General features: G+C 48.3%; 1 protein-coding gene across 21 annotated transcripts in view; it reads left to right on the forward strand.

Moving 5' to 3' along the window:
* Positions 1–13,659, forward strand: part of CNBD2 (cyclic nucleotide binding domain containing 2) — a 76,315-nt gene that overhangs the window by 16,489 nt on the left and 46,167 nt on the right. For 13 of the 21 annotated variants that reach the window (XM_047439921.1, XM_047439922.1, XM_047439927.1 and 10 more), the window contains 4 exons: positions 1,755–1,892; positions 5,075–5,128; positions 9,585–9,748; positions 13,108–13,264. In XM_047439921.1, the coding sequence (XP_047295877.1) occupies positions 1,755–1,892; positions 5,075–5,128; positions 9,585–9,748; positions 13,108–13,264 (513 nt within the window). Of the gene's footprint in view, positions 1–1,252; positions 1,664–1,754; positions 4,083–5,074; positions 5,129–9,584; positions 9,749–13,107; positions 13,265–13,659 lie in introns of those variants that run through there. The other 8 variants (XM_017027683.3, XM_011528592.1, NR_130714.2 and 5 more) reach the window with 8 other exon arrangements.

The raw sequence follows: 13,659 nt of genomic DNA on the forward strand, positions 1-13,659 counted from the left end.
CTAGCTAACGATGTACTTTTCAATAGAAGTTAGTAAACAGAGACTTTTATTTAGTTTTTGCATTTTTTTCTTTTTCTTTTTTTTTTTTTTTGAGACGGAGTCTCGCTCTGTCGCCCAGGCTGGAGTGCAGTGGCGGGATCTCGGCTCACTGCAAGCTCCGCCTCCCGGGTTCACGCCATTCTCCTGCCTCAGCCTCCCAAGTAGCTGGGACTACAGGCGCCCGCCACTACGCCCGGCTAATTTTTTGTATTTTTAGTAGAGACGGGGTTTCACCGTGTTAGCCGGGATGGTCTCGATCTCCTGACCTCGTGATCCGCCCGCCTCGGCCTCCCAAAGTGCTGGGTTTACAGGCATGAGCCACCGGGCCCAGCCTGGCTTTATGTATTTGTATATGTGTTTGCTGAATTGTTTGAAAGTAAGCTGCATACTTTATGACATATCTTTCTTAAAAATAATGACATTACCCACATAACCAAATACCACTATCATACTAAGAAAATCGGCACTGATTTCCTAATATTATCTAATGTACAGTCATATTCAATTTCCTTATTTGTCCCTAGAGTGCCTTTGCTCTGTCACCCAGGCTGTAGTGCAGAGGCGCGATCTCAGCTCACTGCAACCTCTGCCTCCCAGGTTCAAGTGATTCTCCTGCCTCAGCCTCCCGAGTAGCTGGGACTACAGGCAAGCACCACCATGCCAGGCTAATTTTTGTATTTTTAGGAGAGAAGGAGTTTCACTGTGTTGGTCAGGCTGGTCTCAAACTCCTGACCTCAGGTGATTCACCCGCCTTGGCCTCCCAAAGTGCTGGGATTACAGGCGTGAGCCACCGCACCTGGCCTAGGGTGCCTTTTATAGCTTGTTATCATGAACCAGGATCCAATCAAGAAGCATACCATTGGTATGTCTCTTGAATCTTTATTAATCTAGAGCAGCCCCCATGCCTTGTTTTTTTCATCATGAAATTGACTTTTTGAAGAAACTAGGTTCATTGATTTATAGATTCTTCTACATCCTGGATTTTTCCCTATCTTCTGTATTCACTTGTTCTCAGTCTAATTCCAAATTCCTGGGGAAAAGGTAGGGTGGCCCATCTTGGATTAGGTGTTATATAAGTTTTCTATGGCTGCCATAACAAATTACCACAATTTGATGGCTTAAAACAAAGCAAATTTATTATATTACAGTACTGTAGGCAAGAAGTCTGACATGGATGTTCTTGTTCTAAAATCAAGGTGTGAGCATTCCTTTCTCAAGGCTCACGGCCTTTTCTGCTTCTAAAGGCCACCCACATTCCTTGGCTTGTGGGCCCTTCCTTCATCTTGACAGCCAGCAGTGTTGCATTCCTCTTACCATTATTCCCTCAGATCTATCTGATTCTAAAATCCAGGCTCTGTACATCATACCTATACTGCCTGCAATTAGTCGTGCCACTTATTTTGTGGATGGAATTGAAGGATTTGACATTTAGCTGGTTTGCTGGTGCATAACAACTAGCTTCTGGGGAGAGATGTCCTGACTAGTAGCTGCCAATTTCTATGGCATAAGTACTCCTACCATGGCCAGTTTTAAGTTACCAACTTAATTTCAGCAGGCTTGCAAAATTCCTGAAAATGTAACCATCACTCCAGCACACTACAGCACACTACTGCATTTAATCCTGGTAAATTTCACCTTGTTCAGCACCATCCAGCCTGCTGTTGACTGTTGAGAACAGATGGTTTCTATTGATCTTGTTTGCTTTGTTTCCATAGGGACTGTACCAGCTCGCCATGGATATCATCATAATGATCCGAGTGTGTAAAATGTTCCGCCAAGGCCTCAGGGGATTCCGGGAATATCAAATCATTGAGACTGCTCACTGGAAGCACCCTATCTTCTCCTTCTGGGATGTAAGCAGTTGGGCTCAGCAGGATTATGAGGGCTCAAAGAAGCCCAATAAATTGCATCCCACTTCCTGGCCTAAGCTCAGAACTGAGAAAGAAGACAAAAGGAAAAGCAGATGAGAGACCCAATGGTCACTTTTATTAATGGCCATACTTCTGTTGGAGAGGGTGACTTACATCATCAACCAAGAGGTTTACCTAATACTGAACCCCAGATTTAGACAGCCTTACATGCCTAGCCACAGGCAACGCTGGACCAAGGCAGGCTCCACTGCAACAGCAGGCCTGCTGCCAAAACTCATGGCAGGGAAAGGTGGAGCAAAATATGGGCTGAGAGGGAAGGAGACAATCATGCCTAGTTTTTCTCTTTCCAAATTCATCAAAGAGTTTAAGTCACTCCTCAATGTAAAAGGAGAGAGGCCAGTAGTGTTCTACTAATACACCTCCCTCCATGTGGAAAGAAACCTTGGGAGTAGAGAGGTGGTCTCCATTTCAATGGTGATCAAAAGAGCCAGAAGCAATCCAGGAATCACAATAACCAGGGTTTTCTAAATGCCCACACGCTCTCTCTATTCGCGTCTCTACTTTCTTTCCTACACCCCTACTTCGGTGCAGGGGCATTTTCAGGGCTTTGTTCACTGCGGTGACCATGTTTCTTTTATTTTTTTGAGACGGAGTCTTGCTCTGTTGCCCAGGCTGGAGTGCAGTGGCGCGTCTTGGCTCACTGCAAGCTCCACCTCCCGGGTTCACACCATTCTCCTGCCTCAGCCTCCCTAGTAGCTGGGACTACAGGCACCCGCCACCACACCCAGCTAATTTTTTGTATTTTTAGTAGAGACGGGGTTTCACCTTGTTAGCCAGGATGGTCTTGATCTCTTGACCTCGTGATCCACCTGCCTCGGCCTCCCAAAGTGCTGGGATTACAGGCGTGAGCCACCGTGCCTGGCCTGGTGACCAGGTTTCTAGATTTCCTAGAAGGTCCCAATTTAAAATATTTTATCCCAGTGGTAGATCATGTGCCCTTCTTTAGCTCAGAAAAGTTGGTCACCCTTCTGCTAACTTGTTCTAGTTCCCCAGAGGTATCTTCATTGCTACTGGGTGTGTTGCTCAGGGCTTCAAAGTTTCCCCAGCAATCACCTGGACAAATCCTGCCCATTTTTCTGTTGTTTCAGGAATGACTAGAGCCAGTCCCCACTCCTCTGCATCTAGTGATTCACTCCAAGAAATTTCCCTAAAGGGCTTCTGACAGATAGTGGCCAAAGAAAGGGGGATACGGGGCTGGTGATGGGGGAAGGAAAGGCAGCCTTAAACTGGTTTCTGAGGGGCCAGCAGGTAATATAACTAGTGTGTATGTAGCTGAGTTTAAGATACAGCAGGCCAGCTGGAGAGGAAAGATACACCTCATCTAAAGACATTCAGATACAAATATTATATTTTAAGACCCTGTGCTGGCCAAACCAAACAAGGCTGCAGCCCTGTGGTTGGGCTGAGATGAAAAACGAATGGAGTAGAAGAACTGTAACCAAAAGACTCAGGTTAGCTCTCAGGAAGGACCTCCTGACTCTCAGGGTGGCATGTAATGGTGATGCAATGGGCCCTGGAGATCAGAGGGCTTTGGTTACCAGAAGACGTGGCCTGATGCATGGGGCAGTTGGAAGCTAAGATGCAGAGTCACTTGTTGTCAGGGGAATGTGAGGCTAAGCCTAACCACATTGGCCAGCCAGAGTGGCTTGAGCAGAGCAGAAGCCTCTCAAGGGCAGCCTATAAGGGTCATAGGGTTGTCAGGCGGAGCACTGGGCGGCTGGAGTGCAGGATCAGGTGGGGAGCCCTAGACTGCTTCAGTAGATGTGTGAATCTGGATGTTTCTGAGCACTGCCTCTTTCCTTCAGTAGTCTCCCTGAGAAGCACCACATGGCTATGCAAAGGATAAACACGTTGTGGGGGCGAGACGGGTCTGAGTCTAAGGAACAAATGACATGTGGCTTGAGGCCACACTCCAGACACGGAATTGGGTTTGCTGAAAGCCTTGAGTTGGGGTCTCAGCTAGACCACTGACTTGCTGTGTGATCCTTGGGCAAGTTCCTTCACCATCTCAGTCCTACATGGAGCTTAATAAAACCTGCTTTGTCCTGATGACTAAATGGAGTAAGGCAGGGAGGATACACTGTGCTTGGCTCATTAAAGACATTTAACAAAGGTTGGCTTCATTTGTTCCTTTCTTTTTTTTATTTTTTTTATTTTTTTTTATTTTTTTTTTTTGAGACGGAGTCTCGCTCTGTCGCCCAGGCTGGAGTGCAGTGGCGCGATCTCGGCTCACTGCAAGCTCCGCCTCCCGGGTTCACGCCATTCTCCTGCCTCAGCCTCCCGAGTAGCTGGGACTACAGGCGCCCGCTACCACGCCCGGCTAATTTTTTGTATTTTTAGTAGAGACGGGGTTTCACCTTGTTAGCCAGGATGGTCTCGATCTCCTGACCTCGTGATCCGCCCGCCTCGGCCTCCCAAAGTGCTGGGATTACAGGCGTGAGCCACCGCGCCCGGCCTCTTTTTTTTTATTTTTTGAGATGGAGTCTTGCTCTGTTGCCCAGGCTGGAGTGCAGTGGCGCGATCTCGGCTCACTGCAAGCTCCGCCTCCCGGGTTCACGCCATTCTCCTGCCTCAGCCTCCCGAGTAGCTGGGACTACAGGCGCCCGCTACCACGCCCGGCTAATTTTTTGTATTTTTAGTAGAGACGGGGTTTCACCTTGTTAGCCAGGATGGTCTCGATCTCCTGACCTCGTGATCCGCCCACCTTGGCCTCCCAAAGTGCTGGGATTACAGGCGTGAGCCACCGCGCCCAGCCTGTTCCTTTCTTTTTATTCTTCCTTTTCTTCCTCCTCTATGCTTGTTTGTTTGCTGCTTTTCCCCCTTCCTTTTCTCTCTCCTTTCCTGTTTCCTCCTTATCCTCCTTTCCTTCTCCCCACCCCCATATTTCTCTGCCTTCACAATAATATGCTGTAAATGCTGGACCCAAGCCTAGTGCTGAGTTGGGGCCTTCGAGCAGAGGCAGGCCTGAAAGGGCCGGCTGCTATGAGGTTTCCCATGGCTTCCTGCCCACCATGGTGGTCCAGGTAGACAGGAGGGCTCTAGATGCAAAGTTCTAGGGGCAGTCTTGCTGATTCTCCCTCTTCTCCCTGCCCTCTTTCTTTCAGAAAAAGATGCAAAGCCGAGTCACATTTGATACCATGGACTTCATTGCAGAGGAGGTATGCATAGCTCGAAACTTGCTGTGGGGGAATTTTCTTTCTGCACCCTGGCTTGGAAGAAACCCTGGCTGGGTATCAGCAGAGCTGGTTTCAGTCTAGGCTCTGCCACCAACTCAGCTTGTCACCCTGGGTTGGCCACTTCGTTTCCTCATCAATAAAATAGCTGATCTCAGTGATTCCTTCCAGCCCTGGAGCTCCAAGACTGTGAGCATGTAGGAACCAGCTGTCACTGCACAGTTGAGCAGAACCAATGGGAGAGAGTTCCTGGGCTTGGACCCGTGGGAAAACAGCAGGAAAAGATAAAGCAGAGGATGTGAGAGTCCCAGAGAGAGGAAGAATTCAGGTGGTGGGAAAGGGCTGACCTGTGTGAATTCTGGTTCTACCCTGAATTCTCTGAGAGATGCTGGGCACACCTCTCACACCTGGGTGTCAGATACCCTTAAAGAGTCTTATTCAGGTGCAGCGCAGCTGTTGACACTCGGAAGGCTGAGGTGGGAGGATCACTTGAGGCCAGGAGTTCAAGACTGCAGTGAGCTATGGTCGTATCACTGCATTCCAGTCTGGGTGATAGAGCGAGGCCCCCTCTCTAAAAAAGAGTCCTCTCATTTTGATGAGAGAATGCTTTTATATCCATGGGAGCTTTGGACTGTGTGACTTGTTCCCTGAATTTCAATCTCATCATTGTTATCTTCTTGGCTTCTCTCCATGATATCCTGGATATTAAATATTAAAATCCAATTTAAAATTTAAAAGAGTCTACCTATTTATAGGGAACATCTGAAATTCTCACCAATGCAGACCTGACTTGATCCTGGCTTGGAGTAGCCACGTTGTTGTTTTTTTCCTCAGTGGAAGGGGAAAGAAAAGAACTTTATAATGGGTATCAGGGCCACCTGTGCCCATCTCCTGCCCCACCCCTTTCTCTTCTTGGAGCCCAGGTATGGCTTCTGTTGCTTGCCTCTCCTGGGCACAGCCTTATTTTTCGTGCCCCCTCGTGTATGAAGCATACTCAGTTAAGTCATTCAAGCTCTGTGACTCTTCAGCTCTTCAGGCTGGCTAGTGTGTGACACTGAGCACTGAAGCTTAATCAGGCTCTTTCCTTCAGGCAGGAGAAACTAGGGGCCTATCTGAGAGCCACAGAACTCTAGATATGAGGGCAATTCTGTGCACCGCAGTAGAGGGCGGGAAGAGGGCACAAAGGGAAAATTCTTTGTTATGGGCAAGGCCTATAGGTGGTCCTCAAATGAATCATGCCTGACTCTGGTTCCAACACAGGGAAGAGTAGAGAGCCAATTTATCCTCCCGTCTCAGCCTTCTGAGTAGCTGGCATTACAGGTGTGCGCTGCTGAGCCCAGCTGGAGGCTCATTTTAAAAACCAGCCCTTTGGCCAGATGTGCTAGCTCACGCTTGTAATCTCAGCACTTTGGGAGGCCGAGGCAGGAAGATTACCTGAGCTCAGGAGTTTTAGACCAGTCTGAGCAACATGTGAGACCCTGTCTCTACTAAAAATTAAAAAATAAAAATAATTAGCTAGGCACGGTGGCTCACACCTGTGATCCCAGAATTTTGGGAGGCTGAGGTGCGAGGATTGCTGGAGCCTGGGAAATCGAGGTCGCAGTGAGCTATGACTGTGCCACTGCACTGCAGTCTGGGTGACAGAGTGAGACCCTGTCCCCCTGCCCCCAACCCATCCCAAAAAAGCAAGCCCAGCCCTCTGAGTGATGCTAATGAGTATAGGGTTTCTTTGGGGTGATGAAAAGCTTCCAAAACAGTGTGGTGATTGTTGTACAACTCTGTGAATACACTAAAAAACACTGAATTGTACACTTTAAATGGTGATTTCCAGGGCATGTGAATTATATCTAAGTAAAAATGACATATAATATATAGTACACACACATGTATAGTTATATAACCTGCCCCTCAGCACAGCATTTGGATTCTGATGGACAACTAAGCCTCAGTATAGTCCATATTGGGCTTCTAATAACGCTAAACTTCTCACAGACAACCCTTAGTATTAGAGAGGCTTAGAATCATAGACTCAATTATTGCAGCAACTGTCAGACAGTGGAAACAATGGATACATTTACAAAACATTGTTTAGAAAAACACTGAGTGAAGAAAAGCAAATTGTGCAAGTGATGTCTACAGTCTTGACATTTATGTAAATTTTTTATTTTTAGTTTTTGAGACAGAGTCTTGCTGTGTCATCCAGGCTGAAGTGCAGTGATGCAATCACAGCTCACTGCAACCTCAACCTCCTTGGGCTCAAGCGGTCCTCCCATTTTAGTGCCCCCCAGTAGCTAGGACTGCAAGTGTGTGCCACTACGCCTGGCTAATTTTTTTTTTTTTTTTTTGAGACGGAGTCGAGCTCTGTCTCCCAGGCTGGTGTGTAGTGGAGCGATCTGGGCTCACTACAAGCTCTGCCTCCCGGGTTCACGCCATTCTCTTGCCTCAGCCTCCTGAGTAGCTGGAACTAAAGGCGCCTGCCACCACGCCCTGCTAATTTTTTGTATTTTTAGTAGAGACGGGGTTTCACCGTGTTAGCCAGGGTAGTCTTGATCTCCTGACCTCGTGATCCGTCCGCCTTGGCCTCCCAAAGTGCTGGGATTATAGGCAAGAGCCACCGTGCCCGGCCCAATGCCCAGCTAATTCTTAAATTTTTTGTAGAGATGAGGGTCTTGCCATATTGCCCAGGCTGGTTTCGAACTCCTGGGCTCAAGTGATCCTCCTGCCTTGGCCTCCCAAAGCACTGGGATTACAGGCATGAGCCACTATGCCCAGCAGTAAATTTTAAAATACAAAATAGTCTTATATATTCTGTGGGTACATATATATGCATACATAAAAGTGGTAAACTCAGATGGTGGGGAGCAGATCTGGATTGGGGTGGTGTATACATATAAGAGGATTTTAACTATCTGTGTTGTTCTGATTTCTAATGGAAAATATGTGTTATTTCTAAAAATTTTACTTACACCTAAGAAAAATAGAGGAAGTTATTATGCCAGATGTTAATGGCTAATTTTGGGTAGTGGGATTATGGTCAGTCATTCTTTCTTGATCCTTCATGTCCTCTGGAGGAACACAGTAGGGGTGTGGCTGGCCTGCAGTGAGTGAAGGGAAAATGGTGAGAAATGGTGTTTGAGAAGCAGACGGGCCAAGTCTCCTATGCCCTATTTGAAGTGTATTCCCTTTTCCCCATCCCAGACATTTTTTGAGCTCCTAAGGTAGGCCTAGATCTGTGTGTGGTTGTGAGGAATATTAGGCTGTGTAACATCCCCAGCCTGCCATTGAGGAGCTAACTAGGAGTTATGATGAGACTTAACTAGTAAGTTACCCACTTTCATGATAATTACATTAATCCATTCACTAAGGCAGAGCCCTTGTAACCTAATTACCTCTTAAAGGTCTCAGTTTTACAAATTTTTTTGTAGAAACAAGGTCTTGCTATGTTGCCTAGGCTGGTCTCAAACTCCTGGCCTCAAGTGATCCCCCTGCCTTGGCCTCCCAAAGTGTTGGGATTATAGGCATGAGCCACTGTGCCCAGCGTCCACTTCTTAATAGTGTCAGAATGGCAATTATATTTTGACACAAGTTTTGGAGGGGACGTTCACCCTATAGCAAGAGCCTACTGGGGAAGGGGCTACTCTTTCAGCTAAGACGACCCAGTGGGGACTCACTGAGGGTGTGGCAGCATCTGAGCTGAGACCAGAATGATGAGTCAGCCATGTCCACGAGAAAACCCAGGGGACAAATATTCCAGGCAGAAAAAAACAGCCCAGGCAGAGACCTCAAGACAGAGCCGAGCTTAGCACATGCCAGGGACAGGTAGAAAGTTCCAGAGTAGAGAACAAAGGGGAGAGGTAGGAGATGAGGCTGGAGAGAAGCCATTGAGGGTGTTCACAACTCACAGTGTCACTTCTTCAGCAGGTGGGAGTGGTAGGTGAACGTGCTGGTCCATGAGGCCTGGTTCACTGGAGAAGAAAAGCTTTAGCTAATAGTCTCTGGAAGGTTCACTTTGCTTGTTAGTCTCCTGTAGCACACTGAGCTCTAGGCTGAGACAGAGGCAAAGGTCTCCCCTGACTGCTATGTGTATGTGCTGAGCAGACTCTGCAGGACCACTGGAGCCCAGGGAAGCCTGTATTGCCTGGGAAGGTCAATGAACAACACAGGTCGGGGGGATGTCAGCGTTGATATGTGTCAGATCTCCTAATCCTGCCTGAGTTTCTTCATCTGTCAAATGGAATAACAGTTCTTGGGCTGGCAGGATGCAGTGAGATGGGCGTGTAAAATGTTTATCCCAGTGCCTGACACACAGTAAGCACTCATCACGTCAGCCACTGTGGTACAGGGAACGGGAGAGTGTACAAGCAGGACTGTGGGGTGTTGCCCGCTGGCCCATGGGTGAAATTGCTGGGTCCCCTGTATCACTCTGGTCCTCTCTCCCCAGGGTCACTTTCCTCCAAAGGCCATTCAGATCATGCAGAAGAAGCCTTCCTGGAGAACAGAGGATGAGATCCAGGCCGTCTGTAACATCTTGCAGGTTCTGGATAGCTATCGGAACTACGCAGAGCCCCTGCAGCTGCTCCTGGCCAAAGTCATGCGCTTTGAACGGTCAGTGAGGGGCACAGCCCTTGGCCACCAGGCTGAGGCTGGACTGAGCAAAAGAGCCTGGCTGAGAAGGTGTGGCAGGTCCTGCCCACCCCTCTGCATAATGTCAGCCATGAATGAAGTCTTCTGTCCATTCACTTCAGCTCCCACTGCTATGGTCGCAGCACCCTTTATCTCGCTCACTTATTGAGACTCTTAATTAAAGGGCCATTAAATCTGGAGAGGATCTAGTAGAAACCTCAGAGAGGATCTGGTCCAATTCCCTCATTTTTCAGATGAGGAAACTGAGGCTCTGTGGGGGAAAATGGCTCCTCCTAGGTCACCCAGACAAAAAGAAACAGCGCTGAAGCTCTTTTCAGTTACGCCCATCAGAGCTTGGGATGAATTCTTTCTGAAACAGCTTGGCTTTGCTTGAATTACCACTGAGGTCAGTGATGCTCTGATTGAGAGTTGAGAAAGGGTAGTTTCCCAAAGGAGAATCAGGGTGTGATTGGTGGAAAAATATGACCAGATGCTTGACAGCAAAAGCGACAGATGTCTGCTTTTGGAGATTCGGGTTCTAGCTCTGACTTGATTGTGGCTTGCCGTGACTTTCAGCAAGCTGTGGGTTCCTTGGGTCCCCCTTTCCCCTTCCCAAAAATGTTGGTTGAGCTTGATGGTCTCTGAGGGTCTTTCTGGCTCTAGCTCTAGTCATCTTTACTTCAGTGAACAGTGCCTGTGCTCCCTCATCTTCAAAATCTCATTTCCTAGCTGAATATTCCTGCTATCTCCCAGCTAGTCATTATCACCTGGGCCATCTCCTCTTTCTTTATTCTTTTTATTATTATTATTTTTTGAGATGGGTCTCGTCCTGTCAACCAGGCTGGAGTGCAGTGGTGTGATCACAGCTCACTGAAGCCTCTACCTCCTAGGTTCATATGAGCCTTCCACCTCGGCCTCCTTTGTAGCTGGGACAAGGGGTAGGCATCACCATTCCTGGCTAATTTTACTTTTTATTTTTTGTAGAGACATAGTCTCACTATGTTGCTCAGGGTGGTCTTGAACTCCTGAGCTCAAGTGATTCTTCCACCTCAGCCTCCCAAAATGCTGGGATTACAGACGTGTACCACCGTGCCTGGCTTGCCTCTTTCCTACATTGATAAAGATTCCAGGCTGATACTGGTTTGTAGCTCATGAAGCCCACAGCCACAATGGAGGCTGGGCAGTACTGACTCCAGCCTGGTGTGGTCCTCTGTCTGTCCTCTGATCCCTTCCCTCAGGAGTTTGCCACAGAATCACAAGGCCAGTGAGTACTCTCTAAGAGGTCAGAAGAGGAGATGCTGCTGGGGGCTGGGTCAGGGAAGGCTTCCTGGAGGAAGTAGGATCTGAGTTCCTGAAAGGATCTGAATAGTGGAGAAGACAGGGAAGGCCATTGCAGGCAGGGGAGCAACATGGACAAACTGATGGAACAAAGTGGGTATCATCTGCCCTGAGCAGGGTGTTGGTTCCCCTGCTGCTGGTCAAGCCAGCGAGTCAGGAAGGAGCAGAAGGTGGCAGTGTGGAGGGGGAGGAGGAAGAGGAGGAACTGCTGAGGGCAGGGCCATGAGCTCAGAGCTGGGGACAATGGCCCTGCTATCGGGGCACTTCCACAATGGCTGCTCATCAGTCCTGGCAGAGACTAAAGGGCAGACTTTTTTTTACCCATTGTCTCCTGGGTAAAATCCAAACTTAGCTGAGCTTTGGAGGCCCTTTATGGTGGGACCAGTCGAATTTCTCTCCCACCACTCCCCTGACTTGCCTTCTCCCATTTTCCTTTCCCGTGAAGTGCACATTACCTATGAAGTACACGTTATCCCTTGAATGTGCCGTGCTTTGGGCCACCTCTGCACCTTTGGTCATGGTGGTCCCTGTGCCTGGGACCCTCTTCCATCTCTTTGTCCACCTGGATGACTCACTTCAAGCACCATGCTAGAGCCTTGTCTGACCTTCCTAAGCTTGGATAAAGGCCCCTTCTCTGTGCTCCTCAAGTAGCCTGCACTGACATCTCTTAAAGCATTTTTAAACCTTATTTACATCCTGTATGTGACCATAATTTTGAAAACAAAGTCTGTGTTGTTCATTGTGCCCAATTTTTTTTTTTTTGAGACAGAGTCACCCAGGCCAGAGTGCAGTGGTATGATCATGGCTCACCATAGCCCTAAACTCCCAGGCTCAGGTGATCTTCCCACCTCAGCCTTACAGGCAGCTGGGACTACAGGTGTGCACCCCCACATTTGGCTAATCTTTGCATTTTTTGTAGAGATGAGGTTTCACCTTGTTGCCCACCCAGGAGTTCAAGACCAGCCTGGGCAACATAACAAGACTCCGACTCTCCAAATAATAGAACAATTAGCTGGATGTGGCAACTTCAGGTCTCAGCTCAAATATCCCTTCCTTATTGATAGTAATAGTAAGAATAGCTAACATGGGACTGGGCACAGTGGCTTACTCCTGTAATCCCAGCACTTTGCAAGGCCAAGGTGGGAGGATCCTTGAGCCCAGGAGTTCAAGACCAGCCTAGGCAACATAGTGAGACCCTGTCCCTATCTCAAACTCCTAGGCTCAAATGATCCTCCCACCTTGGCCTCCCAAAGTGCTGGGATTAACAGGCGTGTGCCACCACACCTGGCCTCACGGTACCTAACAGACACCACTGATATTTATTTAACTTATTGAATGAATGAAGGAAAAGAATAAATATCGAAAGAATTGAGATTTGGACTTGCATACGAAATACAGAAACTTCCCTCTGAGTTTAAGAACTCCTTGTTCGCTCTGGGCCTGGGCACCTCTACCCCAAGGGTGCCCAGTTGGGTAGTGGGCTGCTGGTAATTATGATAAGACCATTATCTGTGTCTCATTCTAGGCATACTCATCTGCATTTTACAGACAAGAGAAACCAAGGATCAGAGAGGGGATATCCATTGCTCAGTGTCACACAGCTAAGAGCAGAACCAGGATTTGGATCCTGGGCTAACGCTAAAGCCAGTCCTCCTAATCATTTAGTGACTCTACTAACCCATTCATTGCTTTCAGCATGTGTTCACTCATTTATTCCACTATGTTCAATGAACATTCACTGTGCCCAAGCACACGCAGCAGTGACCCAGACTGGCAAAGACTCTGCTCTCAGGAAGCTTCAGTTCAACCGAGGCAGGCAACGGGATAGGTGTTAGTGAAAGGCTCCAGCTTGACTGGCAGGGCTGGGCTGTCCTGAGGGCCCTTCTGGTCCAAGTCTGTGCTCTTATATCCCAAAGCAAAGAGCACAACCAGTCCAGAGCTCCTCTCAGCTTGGACCTGCCCCCATGTCACTACCCAATCAACTAGCAGTGGTCTTTTCCCAGGTTTGGTCGCAGGCGTGTGATCATCAAGAAGGGGCAGAAGGGCAACAGCTTTTATTTCATCTACCTGGGCACAGTTGCAATAACCAAGGACGAGGATGGCAGCAGTGCCTTCCTAGATCCCCACCCGAAATTGCTGCACAAGGGTAGCTGTTTTGGGGTAAGCCCAGGGGAAGGACCCAGTTTCCTGGGGTGGAGTGGGTGGAGGTGACAGGACTTCTGCTAGAACCTCTCAGCCAGGCCCAGTCCTGCCTAGTACTCTGTACAAGTCAGTGTCCCGTGTGGGCCCCTTACCTGTCAAATGCTAATTGAGTTGGACTAAGATCAGCCTCTTCATCTGTGATGTTTAAGAAGTATGTTCCTGATACAGCCCTTTAGAGATGAAGTGACTCCATAGTGAGGCCTCTCCAGCTTCCTCCCCTCTGGCCTGTTCAGGTCTGTTGCCTCTTTTTCCATAAGCAGCAGATTAAGAAGAAGGGGAGTGGGCCCCAGTGGGAGAATGTGCAGGAGAATAGAGGAGGCTAGGGAACACACAGTCTGGTGAGGAGAGAATTC

Source organism: Homo sapiens, chromosome 20, assembly GCF_000001405.40.
Source record: "Homo sapiens chromosome 20, GRCh38.p14 Primary Assembly".
NCBI classification, from domain to species: domain Eukaryota; kingdom Metazoa; phylum Chordata; class Mammalia; order Primates; family Hominidae; genus Homo; species Homo sapiens.